We start from the raw sequence: 25451 nt of genomic DNA, 5'->3' as shown, positions 1-25451 counted from the left end.
CTCTATGTTTTCACTTGGATTATCTACGTGGTTTGGGGGGTTGGGCTATATCTTTGTATAGTGAGTGAAAAGAATTTCCCAGACTCACTTTAAATTATGATGCTATTAATTTTTACAAGAGCCTATTTTGTTTTTAGTTAAAATTTAGTAGAGTCAAAGAGAAAGGTCAGGATGAAATACCACAGATAAGAAGGGGACAGAGATGGCCGGGCATGGTGGCTCATGCCTGTAATCCCAGCACTTTGGGAGCCCGAGGCGGGCAGATCACGAGATCAGGAATTCAAGACGAGCCTGACCAACATGGTGAAACCCCGTCTCTACTGAAAACACAAAAATTAGCTGGGCGTGATGGTGTGCACCTGTAATCCCAGCTACTTGGGAGGCTGAGGCAGGAGAATCGCTTAAACTCAGGAGGCGGATGTTGCAGTGAGCCGAGATCACGCCACTGCTCTCCAGCCTGGGCAACAGAGTGAGACTCCATCTCAAAAAAACAAAAAGGGGGGACAGAGATGTAACATGAGTTTGACCAGGGCAAACCTGTTATCCAAGACAGCAGTTCTGTGTACTAAAACCAACACTGGCATGAACACATTAGATTATTATTACTTTAGTGACTAGATCTGATAATGCCACTGGTAAGTTCTCTGAGGTCCGGAAACTTTTCTGTCTTTTTTCACTATGCAGAATGTGCCTGACACATGATGGTTGCTCAAAGTTATTGACACGTTGATTGATTGAGATAGAATTTCTCTCTGACACATTTGCTGTATTGTTCTATGTGCACATCTACTATTTCCTTAATTTGATTCTAAGTGTCTTAATGAAAAGTAGTGTAGATTGTTAATTCTTGGGACTTCCTACAGCACCTTTGAATACATGTGATATGGTTTGGATATTTGTTCCCTCCAAATCCCATGTTGAATGTGATTCCCAGTGTTGGATAGGGGGCCTTGTGGGAGATGTTGGGGTCATGGGGGAGGATCCCTCATGAATGGCTTGGTGCCTTCCTCATAGTAATGAGTTCAGTTGAGAGCTGGTTGTTGGAGCCTAATACTTCCTCCTCTTGCTCTCTTGCTCCTTTCTCTCATGCTCACTCTCCTGCCATGTGTGATGCCTGCTCCCACTTCCCCTTCTGCCATGATTGTAAGCTCCCTGCTGCCCTCACCAGAAGCTGGTCAGATGCTGGTGTTATGCTCGTACAGCCTATAGAACCATAAGCCAAAATAAACCTCTTTTCTTTATCAAGTACCTAGCCTCAGGTATTTCTTTATAGCAAAACAGACAAAATAACACAGAGGGGAAGGGACCACAGCCCTCCTGCCCCCAGAATGGTAGATCCATGGGCATCTTGCATCCCATGTCTGAAAAAGCCAGAAGCACTCAACCCTAACCTGTCAGCAGCCACGCTGGCTATATACCCTGCAAAGCCGTGAAGACAGAGCTGCCCAAGGCCTTGGGAGTCTGTTCCTCACACCAGTGTGCCCAGGACCTGGAGCCAAAGAAGATTATTCTGGAACTTTAAGGTTTAATGTCTGCCCTTCTGGGTTACAGACTTGCATGGGGCCTGTTGTCTCTTTCTTTTGGCTGATTTCTCCCTTTTGGAATGGGAATATTCACCCATTGCCTATACCACCATTTTATCTTGGAAGTAAATAACTTGTTTTTGATCTTACAGGCTTATAGGTGGAAGAAATTTGAGTCTCAGATAAGACTTTAGACTTTGGACTTTTTGCTGAGTTGATGCTAGAAGGAGTTGAGACTTTGGGGACTATTGGAAACAGATTATTGTGTTTTGCAATGTAAGGAGGACAGGCAATTTGGGAGGTTAGGGACAGAATGATATGGTTTGGATGTTTGTCCCCTCCAAATCTCATGTTAAAATGTGATTCCCAAGGTTAGAGGTGGGGCCTGGTGGGAGGTGTTGAGGTCATGGGGGAGGATCCCTTATGAATGGTTTGTTGTCTTTCCATAGTAATGAGTTCAGGTGAGGTTGTTTAAAGGAGTCTGGTATTTCCTCTTCTCACTTTCTTCCTCCCTTCTCTCATGCTCATTTTCCTGCCATGTGCAATGCCTGCTCCCACTTCGCCTTTTGCCATGATTGTCAGCTCCCTGATTCCCTCACCAGAAGCTGAGCAGATGTTGCTGTTATGCTTGTGCAGCCTGCAGAATGATGAGCCTAAGTAAACCTCTTTTCTTTGTAAATTACCCAGTCTCAGGTATTTATGGCAATGCAAATGGACTAATACAACACGTAATATTTTTAAAAGATTTTCAGAAAAGGTGAGTGGCAATTAATTTATAGTGATAAAATCATATTAGAGAATTTTTGAAGAAGTACTTTTTAGGCATACATTTTCTTTTGGTTGCACAAGACGCTTAACCCTGGTACATATTTTATTTCAATGTTTTGGGAGTTAATAAAATTATGTTGAGTCATTCTTTTGATAAAATAAAATTTATTGTCTAAAAATGAAACATTGTATAAGTTTCATAACATATAAGTGGATATTCCTTATCACCAACTCCCGGAAAAGTTAACTAAATATTAATGCATGTGACATATCACTGCCAGTAATTTGGTCAATGTGATAGATTCACTCAAATCATTTTGTGTAGATGTACATCCACTTATAAGACATACAGGATAAGAATGGGATTATATATTTTGTCTCAGACGATTTTCTTTCCTTTTGGGGGTGAGGGAGGGGATGGGGTCTCACTCTGTCACCCAGGCTGGAATGCAGTTGTGCAATCGTGGCTCACTGCGCCTTCAACCTCCCAGGCTCAAGCAGTCCTCCTACCTCAGCCTCCTGAGTAGCTGAAACTACAGGTGTGCACCACTACTCCCAGTTAATCTTTAATGTTTTTTATAGAGACAGGATCTCACTATGTGGCCTAGGTTTTTCTTGAACTCGTGGCCTCAAGTGATCCTCCCATTTCGGCCTCCCAAAGTGCTGGGATTACAGGCATGAGCCACCTCACCTGACCCCAGACCACTTTCTAAAGGAGAATTCACCAAAACCATATTTTCCAATACCTGGCTTGATGGTTGTTATTCTGGAAACTTTATCTAAGTCCTTGAGGCTCCCTTGGCCTCAGCATCTCTCCTTCAGTCTTCCTGTCCAAGCCACTTCCTCTATTCTCTTCCTAGTACCTTTTGAGGTAGTTCCCAATTCCACAATGACTGCCACAATTCTTTCTGCAAGGCCACTGTCTACCAGTGCTGTGTTCAGTCCCAGTAGAGCCAGCCAAGATTTTTCTCCCTCTCCCATTCTTGCCACAGACGTTACATCAGATTTACAGTTCCAGCCATGGTAAATTTCATGCTCTGGGCAGAAAATCTCCTGAATTTTCATCTTTGAGTCATGATCTAGTTTGTGACATCTCATTGTGTGGAAAAGCTGATCATCTTGCTACTGTATTGATTCATAAGGATCTAGAACCAACTGCTATATTTAAGGAACTTTTCATCCAATGCGTTGGTACACTTAGGGACATTTTTCACTTCTAAATATTAGTAACTTACCAGTTCCCTACTTGGTAGGGAATATATGTCATAATTCCCTAATTATGACATATGAAAAATGTCATAATTCAATATCTTTGCAAAAAGAGTAACTATTTTTATGACATAATAGATAGCATTCATAAGATAATTTGTGCGAATGAAATAACTGTATAAACTGTAAAGAACTGTGATGGATATCTCTAATCCCAGCACTTTGGGAGTCTGAAGCAGGAGGATCACTTGAGCCCAGAAGTTTGAGACCAACTAGGCAACATAGTGAGACTCCATCTCAACAACAACAAAAAATTAAATTGAAAAGAAAAATACTAGCTGGGGGTGGTGGCACAGGACTGTTGTCTCAGCTACTCAGGAGGCTGAAGTAGGAGGATTGGTTGAGCCCAGGAGTTTGAGGCCTCAGTGAGTTGTAATTGTGCCATAAACTTGAGTGATAGAGTGAGACTGTGTCAAAAAAAGGAAATAAATTTTTTAAAAAATTGACTGTAAAGCACTATATAAAGATTAAGCTTTGTTAAGGTCATAGGAAGAATTCAAACTCGAATATCTACTTGATTGATATTCTTTCTGGATCCCAAAATGTAAGTTGATATATGATGTGTTATTTTTTAAAACATTGATTTAAACTTGCATCAATGTATTTTCCTAATTTCAATTAATCTCCTTTAGGGCAGACTCTAATTTTGTCTTCAATTATCTTTCAGTCCACAGTTTGCAATTTTATCTGATAAAAAATGTGTAGGTACTTAAGATTTCTTCTGTGAGCATCTAGTGACCTAATAGTTGAACCACGGTTTAATGGGACCTTTGTTCCACTTACTGAGAAAGAGAGTGGAGTTTTTAATAAAGGAATGAATTTTTTGTGTGATAAGGTCAAACAGCACGTGGAATTAGCCACCTTAGTAACTCCCATGTGGGTAATCTCTACCTCAAATGTCTTCAAAATGTGAAACTTGTACTATTGGTCACAAAATCTATTTGTTGATGGTGATCAGTATTTCTTTTAGTGAGAAATAACAGAATAGAATGGACTGAAATGGGATGGTATGAGATAAAATAGAAATTATTAGAGTCATCGAATGTTTGGGCTTTCTGAGAAAGATGAGAGAAGTTCTGAAGTAAAAGTATTTTTCAGTGTGAGTCCTGGTCACATAAATTTGAAAGCTTCTGCTTTATAGAAACTGCACTGGCACCCGTTGTTCTAATAACAAAGCGGAGTGTCGGAGAGGGTGTGCATATTCTTCAAGTAGAGCTGGTCGTGGATACAGTTTTGAAAGCTCACATAGAAGGGAAAGTAACAACATTCCCATGCAAAGCGTCCATTTTAATTTTACAGCACTTGGAAAGAATTTTCTTCTAGAGCTAGAGAAAGCCTATTCTAAAACACTTAAGCATGTGAGGATCATCTTTCTTTCTACTACTCTATTTTTTAAACTGTCATGTAAGGTTTTTGAGGGTAAGAACTATATCTTTTCATCCTTTTTTTTTTTTTCTCTCTCTCTCTCTATTGCCTGGGCGGGAGTGCAGTGGCGCGATCTCGGCTCACTGTAACCTCCGCCTCCTGGGCTCAAGCGATTCTCCTGCCTCAGCCTCCCGAGTAGCTGGGACTACAGGTGCCTGCACCATGCCTGGCTAATTTTTCTGTTTTTAGTAGAGACAGGGTTTCACCTTATTGTCCAGGCTGTCCTCGAACTCCTGACCTGGTGATCCACCTGCCTCTACCTCCCGAAGTGCTGGGATTACAGGCGTGAGCCACTGTGCCCGGTCGTCTTTTCATCTTTTTAAACCCAAAGCCAGCACAGTAACTACCATAAGATGATATTCCATAAATATTGACTATTGACAGAATGAATTTTTATGTTTTAGGACATATAAATTAAAATGACTGAAAATAATAGTGAGAATGCCCTAACATTTTTGTAGGCCTTCCATTATATGTATATATTATATCTAAGTATTAAAGAAGATAAATATATATAAAGATTATATATTTATAAATATTAATATAATTATATAAAATAATTAATATAATATATTTATAAATATATATTTATATATTTTATATATAATATATAATATATATTATGTATTAAATATATATTATATATTATATATTTATATACATATTTATCTTCTTTAATACTTACAGTAATTCTGCCAAATAGATGATTTTATTCAATTGTAAAAATGAAAAAAATTGAGGTCATTGAAGGTCATGAGCTCATATGTCAGAAAAATCATTCCTGATAACTCAGTTTACAAGCGAAAAAAAAATTAAGTAGGTTTCTTAAGAAGAATGTGTAGAAACTGAGAGAAGGGATTTTAAGTCACCCTTTCATAATTCACCTCAGAGGATACTAAACATTCTTGTCTCTCAATAAGTACATCTTTTTCTTCTGTTTTTTGTTTGTTTGTTTATTTGTTTATACTTAGTCTTAATGGTTTCATAAAATGTATTTTGAGTGGGAACATATTTTAATTTTTAACAGAGCTGATGTTAATGAAATTCGATAAATAAAATGGTTATATACATCACAGAATTAAAACATATATAGTTGTGTGCACCCATTGAAATAGAGTGTATCTTTGCAGGATGGGGGCAATGGACAAACTAAATACATTCTAAGTCTTCACAATAGAATTTGTACAAAATTGGGATATAAAGAATGATATTTAAAGAAATAAAATGGATTTCCAATCGATGACCCGAGCCTCATATCGGCCTGGTACTATGATCTTTAACAATTTAGAATGTATCATTACAGAATTTCATTACTCTCTTTCAATATGCAGAATATTCTGAGCATGACATATAAAGGAGCAAAATTAAAATGTTCCATATCCTTAACTTTATGCTGGTTTTCCTTGTGTTTCTTCTAACGTTATGTAAAATCCAATTACTTAAGTCAATATCAAAATAGCTAGAAATCTCTGCCTGGTGGTTGTGAAAATGTAGCGGCTAAATGGCTATTGAGAGTGCATTGTGTCATATGCAAGAAAGCCTGCTCTATACTTAGTTCTGCAGGAATCACTTTTGTTTTTATGTAGAGGTGCCAAAATTTAAGTTGAGCCTCTCTTCAATTACATGAACGTTGTTCAACTCTCCACACTATTTCTTTCATATCACCGTTCTTCCATTTGTGCTCCACTGGCTCCAGTAAATATCCTTAGATACTTCATCGTGGGTGCCGTTAGCTCCTCTAAGAATATTTTTCAACATTCATCCTGCCTCTTACCAGGCTATGTAAAAAAAACTTGTAGAAATGTAATTCACTGTCAATAGACAGATCCCTAACACCTGAATACTATGTTAGCAAGATCTTTGAAAAAGTAATGCTCAATATTTCTTTGATTTAAAAAGCTTAGAAAGTTTGACTGAGGAAAACAGGTACTTTATTACCCAGGAGATAGGGACAGTTTACTCTGATGAGGATGAATGTTCTTTTATTTGTATTTATTTTTACCTCTTGCATAAGGGTGATATAGCCCAAAATATATAGAGGGAGTTTTAAAAACGGACGTGAGTTGACAAGACACTACTGGCTTGCTGTTTGATTTTGGACAAATAAACTTTATTTTACCTCAGATGTCATATTATGTATATAAACAAATCAAATACCCAACACATCTCTTTGTGTTGTTTTATGGATTATTAAAATATATTGCTACAGCATGTATATTGTTTTTTAAAAGCCCACGACATTTTGACTACCGCTTTTGAAAATAGCCTAAAAGTGAAAAGGCAAATGACTCCAATTTTCATAATTAAATTTTATTTTTGTCTACAATAATGGTTTCTTAATGTTGTGATCTTGTTTCCATAGAACAATCAAAGCCTAGCAATATAAGTTGGTAGTAGAGGTGATACATTCTTTGAAATATCTTTTATCCCTTTATACACAAAGATACCTGAAACTGTCAATAAGAAACACCTCTGCTTCTGGGATGGAACATTCATCTCTTCTAAGAGGATTCTTTCATCTGCACAAGGTTTCCTCTTTCTATCAAAAAGTATATAGTAAGCATGACCTATGTGCTTACAATGACATACACATCGGAAACACTGGAGAATACTAAGTTGATGTTATGTGGATCAGGACAAGATATAAAGCCAGTTTTCTACACTTAATAAATAATTTATATCAAAAGTACTGCATTTCCTTGAAAGAAGAATAAATCACTTGCTAACTTTTTACTAAATGATACTCTACTCTGTAGGTAACAAATTATGTAGAAGATACAATCCTTGTTTAAGGGCTCCTTCCAGGCAAGTTGGAAAAATTCAGAAAGTAGGATATAGCTTTCAAACTAAAAAATATTTCTAATATTTTCTTAGCCAGAAGGATTTCAGATAATACAACATGAACAAAGTGAATTGCAAATATTATCTCAAATAAAATATTGCCTAAAACAGTCAAATAAAAGAGCTCATTTTAAAATCTGCCCAAATAGTAAATTACATTTAGATGACAGATGGAAATTCTGAAATGATTAGTTAGAAATTTCCAGTGATCTCCTGTTTCTTATGTAATATTATATAAGTTTGTTAGTATGGTATCTTGTGACCAGTAACCTTTCTAGTTCAAGCTCCAGCTGTTGTTCTCATGCACTCTGTGCATCAGAATCCTCACCTCTGCTTGAATACTGCTTTGTAAGTTTTACCTGTGATGTTCCTTTTCTGTGATCTTACGCTGTCATCTAAATCTATGATCCTTTAGGTCCTAAGTCAAGACTTATCTTTTCTGGGAAAAGTCCTCCAATCTTTATTGCTTTTCTCGTAAGATTATATCAGTGTATTAGTCAAAGTTCTCCAGAGAAACAGAATCAATAGAATCTCTTAGTGGACAGAGAGAGAGAGAGAGAGAGAGAGAGAGAGAGAGAGAGAGAGAGAGAGTTGTCACTGTAGTAACTAAAGCTTTCATTAAAATGTCTGTGCATATTCACAGTCATGACTTTTCTGCTAATGAGTCCTCCACACTCCCCAGTGTAGCTCTGCTAAGAAGGCAACACTAGCCCAACTGTGCACAAGAAGCACATTAGAGCAGAAGGCAATGTTCAGAGAATTTGTTTCCAAAAATTGTTTAAATCTAGTTTACCATCTTATGTTATTTCTGGCCATCACATTCCTCATGTTTGTTTTATTTCTTTGTTACTCTTTTTAAAAAAATCTTCTTTTATCATTCTCTACCTTTCTGCTTTGCTTCCTGCACTTTAACAAAGTATTTGCTCTTTTTGCAATTTCCATAAATCTTGGCATTATTGACAGTTGGGTAGCATACTTCTTCGCTAGGTTTGCACCATCCTGAGTATTGTAAGATGCTTAGCAACATCCCTGGGCCTCTTCCCATTAGATGCCAGTAGCAGCCACCAGTTCATGACAACCAAAAATGTCACCAGACATTGCCCTGTGTCTCCTGGGGGCAAAATTATTTTTTGTATAGAACCACTGCTTTAGATGGGTATTTTAGAAATGAACTGTGTGGGATAGTTCTGAACTGTGGATGCTAGACCCCATTTGGAATGTGGATAGCACAATATGGATGCAATATTATATTACTCCATGAATGAATAAAGTGTTATGGATGACCGCTGAATCAGCATATTTATACTTCCTAAATCTAAAATAATGGCGAGCTACCCACTTAGCAAGTATTTTTCTGCTATAGCATATGGACATAATAGCTTTGATTGTGTTTACCTTATAATGACCTGTTCAATTGTAATTAGAGAAAAATGATGACATTATTGTGACAAGCTTCTAAAATGCTTACGTTGTCTCTTGAGATCACACCCACTCATGATCATCATAGACTAAGAGATAATGGTAAGAATTAGATTGTCTCTTCACTATATTTCAAATAATCAAGAACAATTGCTAGAATATAGGTTCTGTTTTATTATCTCTTGGGCCTTCCAAGATCTTTCTTCAATTTGTATGACTCATTCTATGTGCTCTACAACAGAGAACTCAGCTTTTTTAGTATCTACCAGCAGTGGTAAAATGGACTGTGAACTGTGTTTCTTCATTCTGAAGCTTTGTAGCTGATATCACAGGCTTTACCCTTCGTCCCAACATTTCAATTTAGTTCATTATATGAACATTTTACTATGAACCTCTTCAGCTGTTTCTACCAAATATTTCATGGTGAAAATCACCTACTCAAAGAGTTTATATTTCAAGTACAAAAAAGCAAATTCATTTAAATAAGTGTTTATTTGGACCTGCCATGTGCCACGGTTTATGCTAGGTCCTGGAGGATGTAATATAAATAACACACATATCAACAGAATTATACACGAACTGTAGTTTTAGTTAGAATGATTGTGATAGTTAATATTTTGTGTCAACTTGACTGAATCAGAGGATGCCCAGGTATCTGGTAAAACATTTCTGGATGTATCTGTGACAGTGTTTCTGGATGAGATTAGCATTTAAATCAATGGATTCAGTAGACTGCCTTTTCCAACCTGGATAAGCTTCATCCCAACTATCGAGGGCCATAATAGAACAAACGGCAGAGGAAGGAGGAATTTGCCCCTTTTTCTTTTTGCCTGGCCACTTGAGCTGACACATAAGTATTTTCCTGCTCTTATACTGGGATTTATACTATCACCTTCCCAGATTTTCAGTCCCTTGGACTCAGACTGGAATTATACCAACAGCTCTCCTGGGTCTTCAACTTACAAATGCAGACTGTGGGAATTCCCAGCCTCCAATTCCTCATATTCTCTCTCTCTCTCTCCATCTCTCTTTCTCACTCATTATTCCAGAGAGATCATACTGATTTTGTTTCTCTGGAGAACCTGACTAATGCAGAACCTGAGGTGATCATTAAGGACTAACCCTGTTTGGGAAGTGCAAGGCTGTAGCAATGGAGCATGGAAGTGCAGCAAGCAAAATGCAATGCAATGCTGTGCGATGTGTTAGTGGCCCTGAGTATCACTTCATAATGAGGTATAAGGCAAGCCACTTGGCAGGCATGCTCGTTAAACATTGCCGACTTCTCTGGAGGGGTTGCAAAGAAAAAATACACCTCAAAGTAATTGATGGGATAGGGAGGAAAGGGGAAACTTGTCTTTTCCTGTTCTAGCATCTCCTGTTACCACTGATCAGGTTCACTGTAAGGGTAATTCAACCACATTTCCGGTTGAAGCATGTTTTGGGGAAGCACTCAGGAAGTCAGACTCCATACTCCATCCAGGTGTAGTATTTCATCAAACTCTGAAAGTGCTGGGGGAACCCTGAGTAGAGGGCCCATAGGCTAAGAAAGTGAGAGAAAGAAGGCTGTGGTGGTGAACAACTTCTATGACCTAACAAGATCACTGGAAAATCCTGAAAGTATTTATACATAGATAAAAATAAATACACAAAATATATTTGCAATAAATTGCTTTACGTATATAGGGACAAGTGTATTACCTTCATAATGTCAAAAAATCTATTAAAATCATTTCTGTGCCTGATTATTTTAGTTTTCTTTAACTACCAAGTCATACTTTTAAAAATGTGAATTCTATTTCTAATTTTAAAGTTAAACAACAGATACCTTAAAAATTAATCAATACAACATTCTCACTTAACAAATAAGGAAACTGAGGCTCAAGGAGATAAGATAATTTGCCCAAGTTTACATAGGGAATGATGGATTCAGCTCTAGAAGTTGTCTCTAGGCTGCCAATTCAATATTCTATTCTCTCTTCATCTTTCTACATAATTGAAAAGAGTTGCTTTTTCATTGAAACACAGACAGCTGACTTAATGGTCCTTCAGAAATGGCAAAACAGAGGGAATCTGGAACTCAGGTAGTCAGATATTTTCTTCTGCATCTTAGGCTATGAGTATCTTCCCTTGAGCCAAAGCTAAAGGTATGAGGCAAGTTTCTGGACAAAATAACATGTTGTAGATGACACCAGTCAGAAAAGCAAAGGATCCTTCACAGACTGGAGTGTAAATAGGAGACATCCCTTTAGGGAAAGACTGAGATAAACATTTGACAATGTGGCTATGAGCTTCAGTGCTCTGTAAGTACAGAATGGCAAAATCTGTTCATCAATTTCCTCCCTAATTCATTAACTAGCCATTTATCATGTCAGAGAAATATAAAAAGTTAATAAGACAATCTCCTAGTTATGAGCACATGTTCCAGAGGTAAACCAAATGTGGTTGCAGCCTCCATCACTTGGCCGCATTGTTTTGCTGGAAAGTATATTTAACCTGCCTGTGCTGCAATTTCTTCATCTGTAAAATGGAGGTTATACTAGAACTTGCCTTACAGCATTGATTGGAGATTAAATGATTCACACTGTGCACTTGCTATATAATAATAAATACTGGATATTATTCATATTATTATAATTTGTGAAACCTAGAAGGAGTTCTGTTTATTCATCACAAAACTCAACACTCTCAGTCAAATGGAAAAACTTTGAGAATCTGTGAAACATTTTGTTGATGTTTGTTCACTTCAAATTTTAAAAGAACACAGTAGCCATTTATTCTGATGTTGAGGCTCCAGTTGATGCTACAAAGTGTAGATGAAGCCAAAGAAAAGAAGTGAGAAGAATTAACTGATGTTCCTTTATTATAGTTACCAGAAATTGGAGCATTATGGTAACAATTTTGAAGCAAGTTCCATCATGTTAAAGCAAAGGTTGGTAAACTTTTTTATTTTTTTCTGAAAGGGGCTAGATGGTGAATATTTAAGGCCTTAAGGGACATATGGTCTCTGTCTGAACCACTCAACTCTTCCACTGTAGCATGAAAGTCAGAATAGACCATATGTAAATGGATGCTTGTGGCTGTGTTCCGATCAATTTCATATATAGAAACAGGTAGTAGCTGGATTTGGCCCACCAGCCATCATTTTTCAACTCCTGATCTAGAAGAAAAGCTCTGTAGAAAATCATTTATTCTGTGACAGTATGGTTATATTCACCATGATTCTTTATTTGTGAATATCCAGGGTATTTCATATAGGAGTGTAGTTACTCATGTCACTTTCTCATTATTGAGCTTATATAATGAGCTTTCTTTTATCTTTATGTAAAATAATTTTACAGGTGCTTTTCACATAAGTCACAAATTTGGTAGAGTCCCCAAAGCTGAGGGCAAATATTGGTAAATGACAATAAATCCCAGTCCTAGTCACATTCCCATGATTAGAGATGGCCTTGACAGCTTTACAGCTTTCCTGAGCCTTATACCCCTTGAGTGCAATTTAGACATTCATAAAAGAACGAGGTTTACTCTGAAATAAGTTTTATTCTTGTGGGATAATACTACCCATGTGACACACAAAGAGAAATACATATATCCCTGGCTTCCCTCTCTTTGGGAAGGGAGAGAAGGTGATGAGGCCCATTCATAGACAGTGTGGTGGCTGGCTAGAATGACAGAAGGTAGTCTCATTCTCTATAATAAGAATGTTTTATATTATAGGAACTCAACAAATGTTTGTTCAATGAATCCCTAACTGAAAATAACATTTTCTAAAGCAATTATATGATCAAATGCTCTATGATGGGATATAAATCTCTCAAGACATGAAATGTCATGTTTCAACTCCTCTCTCAACTCCATTTTCTTTCCAGAAAAAAAAAAAGAAGAAGAAACACATAAAGCTAAGAAAACAAGCTTACCTAATGAAAATAGTAATAAGTACAGGATGCATTTACTAAAAGTGTCACACTAATAAAAGAAAATGACATGTCTCTGGAATTGTTTGCCCACCAAGAAGACAAGGCAGAAAATTGAGTATTTCTGTATCTCCTGGAGTTTTGAGACTATACTAGCATACTCTTAAAGCAGTGAGCCATTAGAATTAGCTGGGTGGAAGACACCTGCTCTAGGACCAAATCACACTTCCATGGGCAGTGCTGTGAGTGTGTGTTTCCTATGGGCCAAGAGGGCCACCTCCAGGACAAATGGATTCTAGCAGAAGAAAGCTGGCTGGGATGGAGCCCTAGCAGGAGGGAACTCGGGATGAGGATACAGGGAGAAGTCATGGAAGGGTGTGCTAACTCTGTCAGGCAATATTCAGTTCAGGGATTCCAGGGAGAATGGGCTGGGGTGGGAATAAGATGGTTTCTAGAAAACACACCAAAGTCTCCACTAGGAAAAGAACCAATATTCAGACACCTGTGGTGTCTTAGTCAGTTCAGACTAAGATACCATATACTGGGAGACTCAAACAAGAGAAATTTATTTTTCACAGTTCTGGAGGCTGGGAAGTACAAGATCAAAGTACTGTCCGATTTGGTTTTTAGAGATGGTTCTCCTCCTGGTTTGCAGATGACCACCTTCTCTCTGTGTCCTCACGTAGCAGAGAGCACAGAGACCAGAAGCAAACCTCTTGTGTCTTTTCTTATAAAGGCACTAGTTTCCACATGAAGGTTCCATTTTCATAAGCTAATTACCTCCCAAAGGCCTCTTCTCCAAATACCATTGCATTGGGAATTAGGATTTTAACATATGAATTTGGAGGAAGGGCACAAACATTACATGCTCAGTTCAGAGTGCATAATAACAGAGGATATTCAATGGCAAAGATTGGGTCCTAGCTAAATGCACAAACCTTAATGTCCCTATTGAAAAACCTGTAAGATCACCAGAAAATCTGCTAAGACGAAATGAAGTATATTTGAGCTCCCTGCCACAAAGAAGAATGCTACTGTAAGTCTTGTCTGTGTTTCCACAGGGAGGTGTTAGAAATGAGATTCTGGGCTGAGCTGGTTCAAGGTGGGTCTTTCAGAGAGGAAGCTGACATGAGTTTCTTGATACATAAACTGTTGCTTAATTAGGGAACTGTTTATTCAGGTCTTTGGGCTATTGGCTCCAACAAATTAATCTATAGGAATTTCCTGAAGCATGCAGTGAAATGAGCTATTGGTTGTTATTATCTCTTCCCAGTAAAAGTTTTCAGAGGCAAACAACAAAGTCCATGTTGACACAGGTGGCCTAAAGCATCATGTTGAGGAAGATGGCCCTGGTTGTCATTTTCTTTCCTCCCATTGTGTATGTTTGAATCAAAGGGAAACAAGGAGCAGTACATTGATGGAAGGCAAGGTGGAGTATGGAAATTTAAAAAAAAAAAAAATCTTCTTTAAACCACTGGTGGCCTTTGGAAACACATGACAGGCCTAAACTGAGGGGAAAGGGAGAAGCTTTTATTGTGGCTGTAAGACTGGTTTTGTAATTATGCAACTTTGGATTACTAACGTGAAATGAAAATTTTTCTTAATATCTTAATGTGATCATAGATCTACCCATTGTGTTGTTCAGGGATTCAGGGAAGCTAGAGCTCTAAATTCAAGTGTGAAGTTCAGTGGTGTTAAAAAAAAATGAAGCAGTTTCCTAATTGTGTCCTGAGTCCTGTCTGCTTAATGCATCAATTAAAATCAAAGATAACCATCTAATAATTCTTGATTTTCTCTTACTCAGTAGTAGGGTTAGATTTTCATTCAGTGGGTCCTCTATAGGGTCTGACATAATAATTGACATTTTGATCAAAGTAAGAAAAACATGAAAAATTCCAAGTTATTATTTATTATTTTACCACTGTTTATCAGTGCTGAGCTTACTTAGGATCAGAATAAATATCATGAAGATGGAAGCTATGCAAATGTACCTCTTAAATCTTCTGCTTCAGGGAGCATTACTGACTGATTGACAGCTACAGCAGTTGGTCTTTGAATCTACCATCACTTCTGTGCCAAGGTTGTGCTGTCATCCATTCTTGTTAGTAAATACTCTTGGCAAGGATGCTAAGGCAGGCCCATTTTGGTGATATGTAAGGCTCCTTTGATGGGTGACTTGCCAAAACTTTCTTAGAATTGCCCTAAAGGAGTTTCTTTTTTTTTCTTATCTTTTCTTTTCTTTTCTTTTTTTTTTTTTGAGACGGAGTCTCGCTCTGTCGCCCAGGCCGGAGTGCAGTGGCACTGTCTTGGCTCACTGCAAGCTCTGCCTCCCGGGTTCACGCCATTCTCCTGCCTCAGCCTCCCGAGTAGCTGGGACTACAGGCACCCGCCACCAGGCCCGGCTAATTTTTTGTATTTTTAGTAGAGACGGGGTTTCACCGTGTTAGCCAGGGTGGTCTCGATCTCCTGACCTCGCGATCCACCCGCCTCGGCCTCCCAAAGCGCTGGGATCACAGGCATGAGCCACCACGCCCGATGGGGAGTTTCTTAAAGAAGTTTCTTCTAGACCAAACTTAGTTCCCTCTGTCCTTCACTGAGGCTAGACATACTCCACAGTAGTATGGCTCTCCCAGACCTCTCCAACTACCTCCCCATTATCTATCACTGGCATTTTCACCAATAAATCTTTTTTATGTTTAATCCCATTTGGCAGCTGCTTTTCAAGGGACTGCAATGGACACAATAGATCAGTAAGATTTGTTATTCTAAAATTAAGTGTAACTTATTTACTCTATTTTCAATAATGGGTTTATATTATTTTCTCTGAGTGTTTTTGAAGTTCTTCTTTGTGTTCCCACTGAATCTTGTCTTCACCCCATTATTCCATTTGCCATATAAGTTATAATTGTATTTGTGGGAACTTCCTGAAGCAGAGAATTTGTGTCTTTGTTCAGCGTAATGCTTGGTATATAATAGGACCTCAATAAATTTTTTTTCAATGAAAGACTAAAACAAAATTTTCTGAAGCAAATATATAAAAAATGCACTTATGAGGGGATTTAAATCTCTTAAAACATGTGATAGGTTATATATTTAAATTTTCTTTGCACTTTGTTTTCTATTCAACAAAATATCAATAAAACATATGAAACAAACAAAAAGTGTACCTAAGGAAGACAGTTGAAGATATGGGATGAATTCACTAAATGTATCATTTTTACTTATTTATTTATTTATTTTTTGACACAGAGTCCCACTTTGTTGCCCAGGCTGGAGTGTAGTGGCATGATCTCAGCTGACTACAACCTCCGTCTCTCAGATTCAAGTGATTCGCCTGCCTCAGCCTCCTGAGTAGCTGGGATTATAGGTGCACACCAGGCCTTGCTAATTTTTGTATTTTTAGTAGAAATGGGTTTTCACTGTGTTGGCCAGGATGGCCTCAAACTCTTGACCTAAAGTGATCCGCCAGCCTCAGTCTCCCAAAGTGCTGGGATTACAGGTGTGAGCCATCATGCCCAGCCTAAGTGTATTGTATTAACAAAATAAAATGGAATGCCAGAATTCATGCCAAAGAAATAAGCTTATTTAAAATATTGTAACTATTTGAAATATATTTGAGTGGAAGAGTTCTGGGAAAATAATGAGAGAAGGATTTTAGAAAGATGATAACAGAAATGATCCTGAGCATTGGCACAAAAATTGAAATTCAAGATATATCTCCTGTCAGATTTAGGAAGGGTCCTAGGTCAAGATTAATTTGTCCGTGTTCAATCATATACTTCCAAGAGGGCTAGGATGCTGAGTCCTACTGATGTAGATGGTCAACAATCACAGATATTGGACAGGCTGAGTGTTGCAGTTCCATAGAGTACAGAAATAATCATGAGAGAATGGAGAATATTCAGTAAGATGATCCAAAAAGGCGAGACCCAAAGGCTGGTTAGTAACAAGTTGCCTGGAAATTCCTGGATGAAAAGGTAGTTGGGTGGTAGAAGCTGGACCCACAGTCCAGAGATTGGAAGCCAGTGCTTCCACAACCAAGAGATCCAAGGCCAGTGTTTCCACATCCAAGGGATCTTATGTAGTTAGTCTGGCGGGGACTGCAGAAGATGGAATTCTTTGGGCAGTAACAGGATGTCTGATAGGATCTGGCCAAAGTGCAGGATGTCTGGCAGCTGGTGGGCTCACAGTAGGTCTCCTGACAGCCATTGTAGAGAGAGGAGCCCAGTTGGCAGGTATTTGGAGAATAGATGGCATTGCTGGGGTAGAACAAATTATAAGTGGAAACTGGATACCTCAGGTAACTTCCAAAACAGCAGGAGGAGAAGTTTCCAGAGCTGCAGTTGTAAGACATGTTAACAGGAGTTCTGAGCTCAGGTGATTTGCAGTGAGGAGCGTGTGTGTGTGAATGTTACCTTCTATACTGGACACTGACATACTCTAGCAATAGGTGTAGTCACAAGTGCCCATTCTAATGAGAACACTTAATTAGGCTGCAGTCAAAATGAAATATATTAACACTCAAAGAATTTTATTTATGAACGTAGACTTCTACATGAAAGAATTTCATTAGTTTTTCAAAGCAATTGTTCATGAAACAAAAATGCCATTTCTCATTCATCTTGCTTAGGTAGAATGAAAACCACCATAATTGTACCTATAAGACTGATGCTTCAAAGGGTCGGGCGCGGAGGCTCACACTTGTAATTCCAGCACTTTGGGAGGCTGAGGCAGGCATATCACGAGGTCAGGAGTTCCAGACCAGCCTGACCAACATGGTGAAACTCCGTCTCTACTAAAAATACAAAAATTAGCCGGGCATGGTGGTGGGCGGCTGTAATCCCAGCTACTCAGGAGGCTGAGGCAGGAGAATTGCTTGAACCCGGGAGGCGGAGTTTGCAGTGAGCCGAGATCGTACCACTGCACTCCAGCCTGGGAGACAGAGCAAGATTCCATCTCCAAAACAAACAAACAAACAAAGAAACAAAAAAACAAAGAAAAAAACTTGATGCTTCATTCATCCTGTCCTTCTAGAAATTGGATCAAACGGCTAAGACACTGAGAGTTCTGGTATTTGTAAAGATCTGAAAAATACCTTGTAATCTGGAAGGGACTTTGATCTTGCTCCAATTTTATAAATTCAATTGAGAACAGAAAAAAAATTTCAATATCTATTCCTTCTTTCAATTCTTTGAACCATTAGAAGAAATAACCCAATAACAATCCTTATTTGGTAGACATGCTAAATGAGTGCCTAACATATTTAAGTTTAGATTTCTTATAACACAAGTAGCTAAGTCACTCTTGTGCACATGAAGAGTTAAGAATGAAGGGTGAAATTTTTGAACAAGTGCTTTGAAGTTTACATTGTAAAACTACTAAAGAAATCCCTTACTCAAAGGTTGATTTGCTTCTTCATAGAAGTCATCAATAAGTTTGATTATAAAAAACCGTTTATCCCCATAAGGTATAAGTAATTTTTGGTCATGTTGATGTTACTGAGAGGAAAATAATAAGCACTATAAGTAAAATGTAAATCGTTAATCTTTTCCTTTCTTTTCTCTCAGAGGGTGACATTTTTACCAGAGAGGGAAAAGAAAAGCAAGAAATGAGGGAAATGTCTATCCCATGTAGTATTCACAGAAAGATAAAATATGTAAAGAATTCATAGTAACAAATGACTTTATAAATTGAAATAAAGGGGTGGGAAGGATACATGATGATAATGTGTAATTGAGAGTGAATGCCTTTGTGACCTCTGATGTATCAGCTGACATATATATTCTGCCTAGAGTACTAGAGTAATGAGGATTTTTCTGGATTCGCTCAGAAAGTTCATCAGAGCAAACTGTAAATAGATATATGGCACGGATGCAGGAAATGCCTTAACCTGTGGGAATGGGCAAACCTCTTAAGACATCCATCTTCAGAACTGATGTATTCTACAATGGAAGTGAACTGAGACTCCCTTCTATGAAGAATCAGGATTACTAGGTAAAAGTTTTAGGGGAAGATTCAGCTAAAAATCTAAAATGAGTTGCTCTTGCAATTAATGATATTTCCATACTGAGGGCCCTGGGAAAATCTAATTAGGATGTTGTAAGTGGAATTCCAATCTGACAGGAGGCTGGAGATAATTGCTCAACTTCCTTCCAAATTGTAGACTTTATAAGTCTAAACTTTTGAGGAGACAAATTGATCTCCAATCATGTTTCATTTATTAAGTAACATAGTTTGTTCTGTGTTTCTGGAATAAACAATTCTTATTTATTAGGCTTCTCAATTATTAATAGCCAAAAAGCATTCTAGTAGATTCCAAATCTTCCTGTTGTGTTTGTCAATAAAATATTGAATATCAAAATAGCCACACAAATATTTAGCCCGCCTAAATTGAAGTTGCTTTCTTGTTTTAATGTCATCCATTCCTATATAAGCAATTTCAGTAGAAGAATACTCTGAGGGATCAGATATTAAGTAATGTCGCACATTCTTTTCTCAAAGTATGGATTTTTTTGCATTCAACTACTTTCATTCAGAAGTGGAATGGAAACTTTTTTCTAAAAATGAGCAAATCAAACAACACAGAAACCACAGCAAGATAAATCTCAATCTCTCCTCTTCCTCAAGATATCAGTCTCATTACACCATTACATCAAGGTGAAATACAAGTCACAGAACAAGAGAAAATATGACCATTATTTTAGAAGTGTTGTAATACCTGTCAGAAACACCTGAAAATAATTTACGTCAAAGTCATGTATGTTATTTTTGAGGCAAAGGAAGAATCTTCCTAAGATGCTGCCTTTGTCTCACCATCTCAAAGCAGTTACTTTATAAACTTTCTTTAAAACAGGAATCTTTTCCAGATTCTGGGGAATTCTTTTAGTGGGAAACACTGACTCTGATTAGAGGTAGAAATACACTAGGCATCTTTGACACATGATCTGTTTTTATTTTTAATGCCTTTTAAGCATCTTAGATGAATAATCTCGACCATTCCAAAATACATAAAGCAATTTATTATTTTTAATTCACTCAACAGTAAACACACACCCAAGGAAAGAAAAGCTAAGATTGGCTCCTAATAGTCTGCATACAGTTTTAAACAGGAGCACAGAAAATAAGGGAATCTCAGTTAATATTTCATTAAAGCTGTTCCAGTTGAAGTTTGATTTTTAAAAAGACATTATATCTTGCATATCACCATTGCTGCTTTCTGATGACATTCTTCGTTAAGTTAGCTTGCTACTTTGCGGTGACAGTGAATGTATGTTTTTGTTTGAAAGAAATGACTATGAATAGATTGGTTAGCTGGCAACTTTGTGCACCAGATGGCAACAATTTTGAGACAGATTGTGAAATGGGTATCAATTATTTTTAATTAAGGCAGCTTCCCTCAGCCCAGACACTGTCTACCTCTAAAGCGATTCTCTGAGTTATCTGAAGAGTGACCTTTGGTAAGGGAAGATGAGTAATAGCTTTAAAGAGTCAACACTATTAACTGAATCCCAAGGCACAAACATTACTGCACTTCCTAGCTGTAAAATCACAATAAATACATATGTCTGACTATGATTATCTTTTTAATTCATTTAAAGTTGGCAGGTAACCTATTTTATGTGCCATGTGGATGACACACCCAATGTTAAGGGCATATAAGTCCCCAGGTCCAAGAAGTGACATTCAAAGTCACAACCTTGTCATTGTAAGTCAACTCTCTCCTACAACTGCTACTCTGGAAACTTCTCCTCCCGCCCTGTGGGGCATAACTGCGCTACCCAGGCTTCTCTTGTGGCTCTTCCTACCCCAGCAAACTGGTCTACAGCACTGACCTCTGCTCTCCCAGCACCTGCCAGCTGGGCTCTTCTCTCTACAGGGGCTGTCAGGAGACCTGCTGGGAGCTCCGCAGGTGCCAGACATCCTGTGTAGTGTCCAGCACCTGCCAGATCTCCTGCTATTGCCCCAGAACCTCTATACTCTGCAGGCCCTGCCAGATGACTTACTCTGGATCTCTGGGCTTTGGATCCAGGGGCTTTCAATCTTTTGGCTGTGGCTCTCCATCCCTGGGCTTTGTATCCAGTGTATTCCAATCCATGGGTTATTGTCCCATTGCTTTCACATCCCTAAATTATAGACCCAACTTTTACCACCCAACCTTCTATTCTTCTAGTAGCTGCCAGTCTGCTTCTTACCATCCAGCCTGTGAATATGACTTTTAGTAATTATGTTTGAGGAACCAGAAACTTAAACACAATACCTACTGTGTCCATATCCATATATCCATACCGTCTATTGCTCTCCTATCCTATCATTTGCCTACGAATTTGATTTCTACTGTTACCCATGATAGATGAGGAATAATCTGAATTCCAGTAACTAGAAAATATTCACTGGAGCAAGATGTCAAAACTGCTTATTTATAATTATATAGATATGCAATATCAAAGCACACTTCTCTTACTGTATCTCCTAGTTATTTCCCCTAGAGTAGTTGCTTTAAATTTTACAAAGTGAAGAACGTAAGTTTAAATAAAACTGGGTAACATTACATGTGCATATCTGCTTTAATATTCTTTGCTTACTTTTTGTCTTAAAAACTACTAAATATCTGGCTAGGTTTTTCTGTGTTTTCTACTAAAGACACTTGCGCACGAATGTTCATTGTAGCATGATTCAGAATAGCGAAGATGTGGAATCAAGATAAATGGCCATCAATGACAGATTGAATAAAGAAAATGTGGTACATATATACCATGAAATACTATGTAGCCATAAAAAAAGAACAAGATCGTATCTTTTGTGGGAACATGGATGGAGCTAGAGGCTATTCTCCTTGGCAAACTAACATAGAAACAGAAAACCAAATAGTGCATGTTGTAAATTACAAGAGGGAGCTAAATGATGCGAACACATGAACACACAGAAGGAAACAACAGACACTGGGATCTACTTGAGGGAGGAGGGCGAGAAGAAGAAGAGAAACAGAAAAGATAACTACTGGGTACTGGGCTTAATACCTGGGTGATGATATAATCTGTACAACAAAATCCCCGTGACACGAGTTCACCTATGTAACAAATCTTCACATGTACCTTTAACCCTAAAATAAAAGTTTAATTTATTTTTAATTTTAAAAAGTAAAATTGTCCATATTCTTTTTTAATTTAGAAGACTTTTCATCTTTCATATTGATTCCATCTATTAATATCTTCACGTGATAAAATGAAGAGGACACATTTTTAAGACTACAAACAAACTAACCACTGTGGTCTTCTTTTTCTGCAGGGAGTTAGAAACATCAATATTTTTATATAAATGATTACATTTGCAATGACTATTAAATTGATTGTATCACATAATTTTGGTAGAAAGAATACTTTTATAAAATGTTTTCTGAAATATATGAGAATTCAGAGTGAGGATATCCAGTAAAAAGTTAGATTTTAGTGAGTTAGATTTGTTGAGGAATCCAGATCCCCTAGCCTTAGTGCCAGGTAAGAAATCAATTCTCCAAATGAAAGTGCTAACATATTTCAATATTCGTTAGCAAGTAGGACCAACCTGTTTTATATAATCAGTTCTATAAACTTGATGAAGTCTCAACTTACTCTTATTTTTTAAGTTGTTTGGTTGGCAGCACTTTCTTGAAAAAATAAAATTCAAAACCAGTGCAAATATTCTCTTGTTACAGGATTAGGCTAAATATCCAGGTAGCTGATAATCCTTGAATCAGCAGTTAAGCCTCAAATGTTTTATCATTTAAGTCAAGTACAACATTATTAAATGGAAGACCTAGATACTTACCTACTGGGTAACAATATGGCATGGTTTATTTTTTGTTGTTGTTGTTTCAGTATCCAATACCATTTGGTGATTGTCTCAGATTTTTAACTTTTTATTTATTTATAATCAGTAATATATTAACATAAATAATGATTAGTTTAGGAAATTTCTACTTTACTTTTGTCATGGTTTCATCTAGTGAAGAAAAAGTAGCACGCACAGTGAGCAGAGTTTTTACTTCAATTGTTAAATCTGAAAGAAGACAGAATGCTTACAATTGTTCTTAAAATTTCTAAACAAAATAGAACTATCTTTTTTTTGTTGTTGTTGTTGAGATAACTTGCGGTGCTATGGTTCAGGCTGGATTGCAGTGGCACAATCTCCGTTCACTGCAACCTTCACCTCCCAGGCTCAAACTATCCTCCCACCTCAGCCTCCCAAGTAGCTAGGACTAGAAGCACACACCACCACACCCCGCTAAAAACTATAACTTTTCTTGCAAAGAGAACATGCAGACAGAGCATTTGAGAAACAAATTACACTTACATACAAGTGATAGGTCAGCCTACTCGTTCAAGTCTTGGGGGTGGGTCATTTGTTGTTCAGACCTAGCCGGTAGTGCGATGGCCCATTCCACAGCTGCAAGACGCGGCAATACTCTCAAGCCAACAGTAGGTGGAGTTAGTGGGAAATTTGAGAATTGCTGGCTAGGTGCACGTGAAGTATGGGCATGAAATTTTGACTGCCACAAAGCCACAGATAAAGGATAATCTAAATGCTCTTGCTACAGTGATTTGGCCATGTCTTGTATTTTTTAAATCTACAACTATTTTTTATTATTCGGTAACACTTTTCTTCTTTAAATTTTGTAGATAGAAGAAAAGGAAAATAAGCCAAAAATAAAAGCTCATTTTTTAATGAAAAAAACAAAAGTTGGGTTCTGAATTTCTACCACTAAATCCGGTTGATGGTGACTGCATGAACTTGTACAACAATTTGATGATATTTATTATTCAACATGAGAGTAGGTGATATCATTGACCACATGAAAAGTGAAAGACATAGTTTTACTGAAGATACATCAGTATCTACTTCAAAAGACAGAAAAATGTTTAAGAAGACCAAGTCCTAAGATGATTATTTACTATTAACAGTTGCAAAAAGTGTGTCAATACATCACCCTGATACAGACATTTTCATTTAGGTCAAATAACTGTTTTAAGTCATTTTCACTCGTGTTAAATTATACATATTCTTGTGCATGTACAGAAAATAATTGAACCAATAGTTAATGACATGCCCCTCCAGTAGCAGGAAAAACAAATCACTAGGGATTAAATGAATTCAGTTTTATATTAGAACTGTCAAATGCTTCAAACAGAAAATAAATTAATTCCAATAATGTTTTGATTTCTTCGCCTAGCCCCCCCAAAAGAGTAAAGCTATAAAAAGTTCATAATGTTCTGTTTGATAAAGCTAATGTAAAGTTATTTTAAAAGTTCAACATTGAAGATGAGATTATCTGTTGTATCCATAATGATAAAAAGTACAAATTTTGGTAAGGACATCATGGTAAAGAAAATAAGAGTCCTGTGGAGAAGACGCACATTTTTAATTGTGGTGAATACATAACTCACTTTGTATCCGAATAAGCTGCAATATTCTATCAATAAAAGTAGAAGATATAATTTGAAAAATTTTAAAACACTTTGTATATACTCTAAATTGTACTGGCAATCAATACTTTTCCTTACCTTGTTAATCACCATGTTCACGTTTTTCTACTGTATTATCTTTGAGCTCTTGTTTCATTTATTTTAAGCAATAATTTGTATTGTTTTATACAGAAAAGTAAATGAAAGGAATTTCCTTATGTTTATCAATATTTTTTACACATTGTATGCTGCTTCTGCATTCTATATTATTAGTTTACTCAAGAACATTGCCATGAATTCACTCTGATTGATTCCATCCCCCTTCAGTCCAATCTCACCAAAATGGGAATCTGATTTACGTTATTAGTGAGATGTTGCAAGAGTCTGCAATTTCACCATTCTTGTTCATAATGCTTGGTATTATTGAAGGCAGAACTTTATATCTATCATCTTGGATCCTAAATCTGAAAAAACTAAGTTACACTCATGATAATAATTAAAATGTTAAGATATGTCATAGAACTCAGAATTCATAACATTTTCTTCCTGAGATGCCATTGATTATTTTTCTATTACTCTACTATTTGTTATAACCGTTAAAATGTTATTTAAATAAATTAGTTTACCTTCTTTGGAGCTCTTCTCCTAAACTCTAAATTTATTTGTATTTTCATTCTTTATTACTGATACTACTCATGAGGCTACACAAATAAATCCAATAGTGGATCATCTCCATTTAGATGAATAGTAATTCTGCAGTATTTCTGTACTACTAGAAATACTAAGTGTTCCTTGGTTGAACTAGGAGTTGTATTTTTTAATAAAAAGAAAAGAAAAACCAGAAAAGAGTAACA

At 37.1% G+C, this 25451-nt stretch overlaps 1 protein-coding gene, 1 long non-coding RNA gene and 1 pseudogene across 3 annotated transcripts in view; 2 read left to right on the top strand and 1 right to left on the bottom strand.

Annotated features, from left to right (window-relative positions):
• Window positions 1-25451, top strand: part of LOC105372772 (uncharacterized) — an 82493-nt gene that overhangs the window by 17868 nt on the left and 39174 nt on the right. The window contains exons 3-4 of one of the 2 annotated variants that reach the window (XR_937654.3): window positions 12112-12174; window positions 13115-13234. The exons of the other annotated variant lie outside the window; for it this stretch is intronic. This is a non-coding gene — a long non-coding RNA (uncharacterized LOC105372772). Of the gene's footprint in view, window positions 1-12111; window positions 12175-13114; window positions 13235-25451 lie in introns of those variants that run through there. 2 annotated transcript variants of the gene reach the window in all.
• On the bottom strand, window positions 16972-17566 carry KRTAP15-1 (keratin associated protein 15-1). The gene has a single exon (NM_181623.3). It carries the CDS (start codon window positions 17511-17513, stop codon window positions 17100-17102), a length of 414 nt encoding a protein of 137 aa, NP_853654.1. The 5' UTR covers window positions 17514-17566; the 3' UTR covers window positions 16972-17099.
• On the top strand, window positions 20870-21380 carry KRTAP13-5P (keratin associated protein 13-5, pseudogene; annotated as a pseudogene).

The sequence above is a fragment of the Homo sapiens genome, chromosome 21 (assembly GCF_000001405.40).
Source record: "Homo sapiens chromosome 21, GRCh38.p14 Primary Assembly".
Lineage (NCBI taxonomy): Eukaryota > Metazoa > Chordata > Mammalia > Primates > Hominidae > Homo > Homo sapiens.
This window is presented reverse-complemented; position numbering and strand designations above follow the sequence as displayed.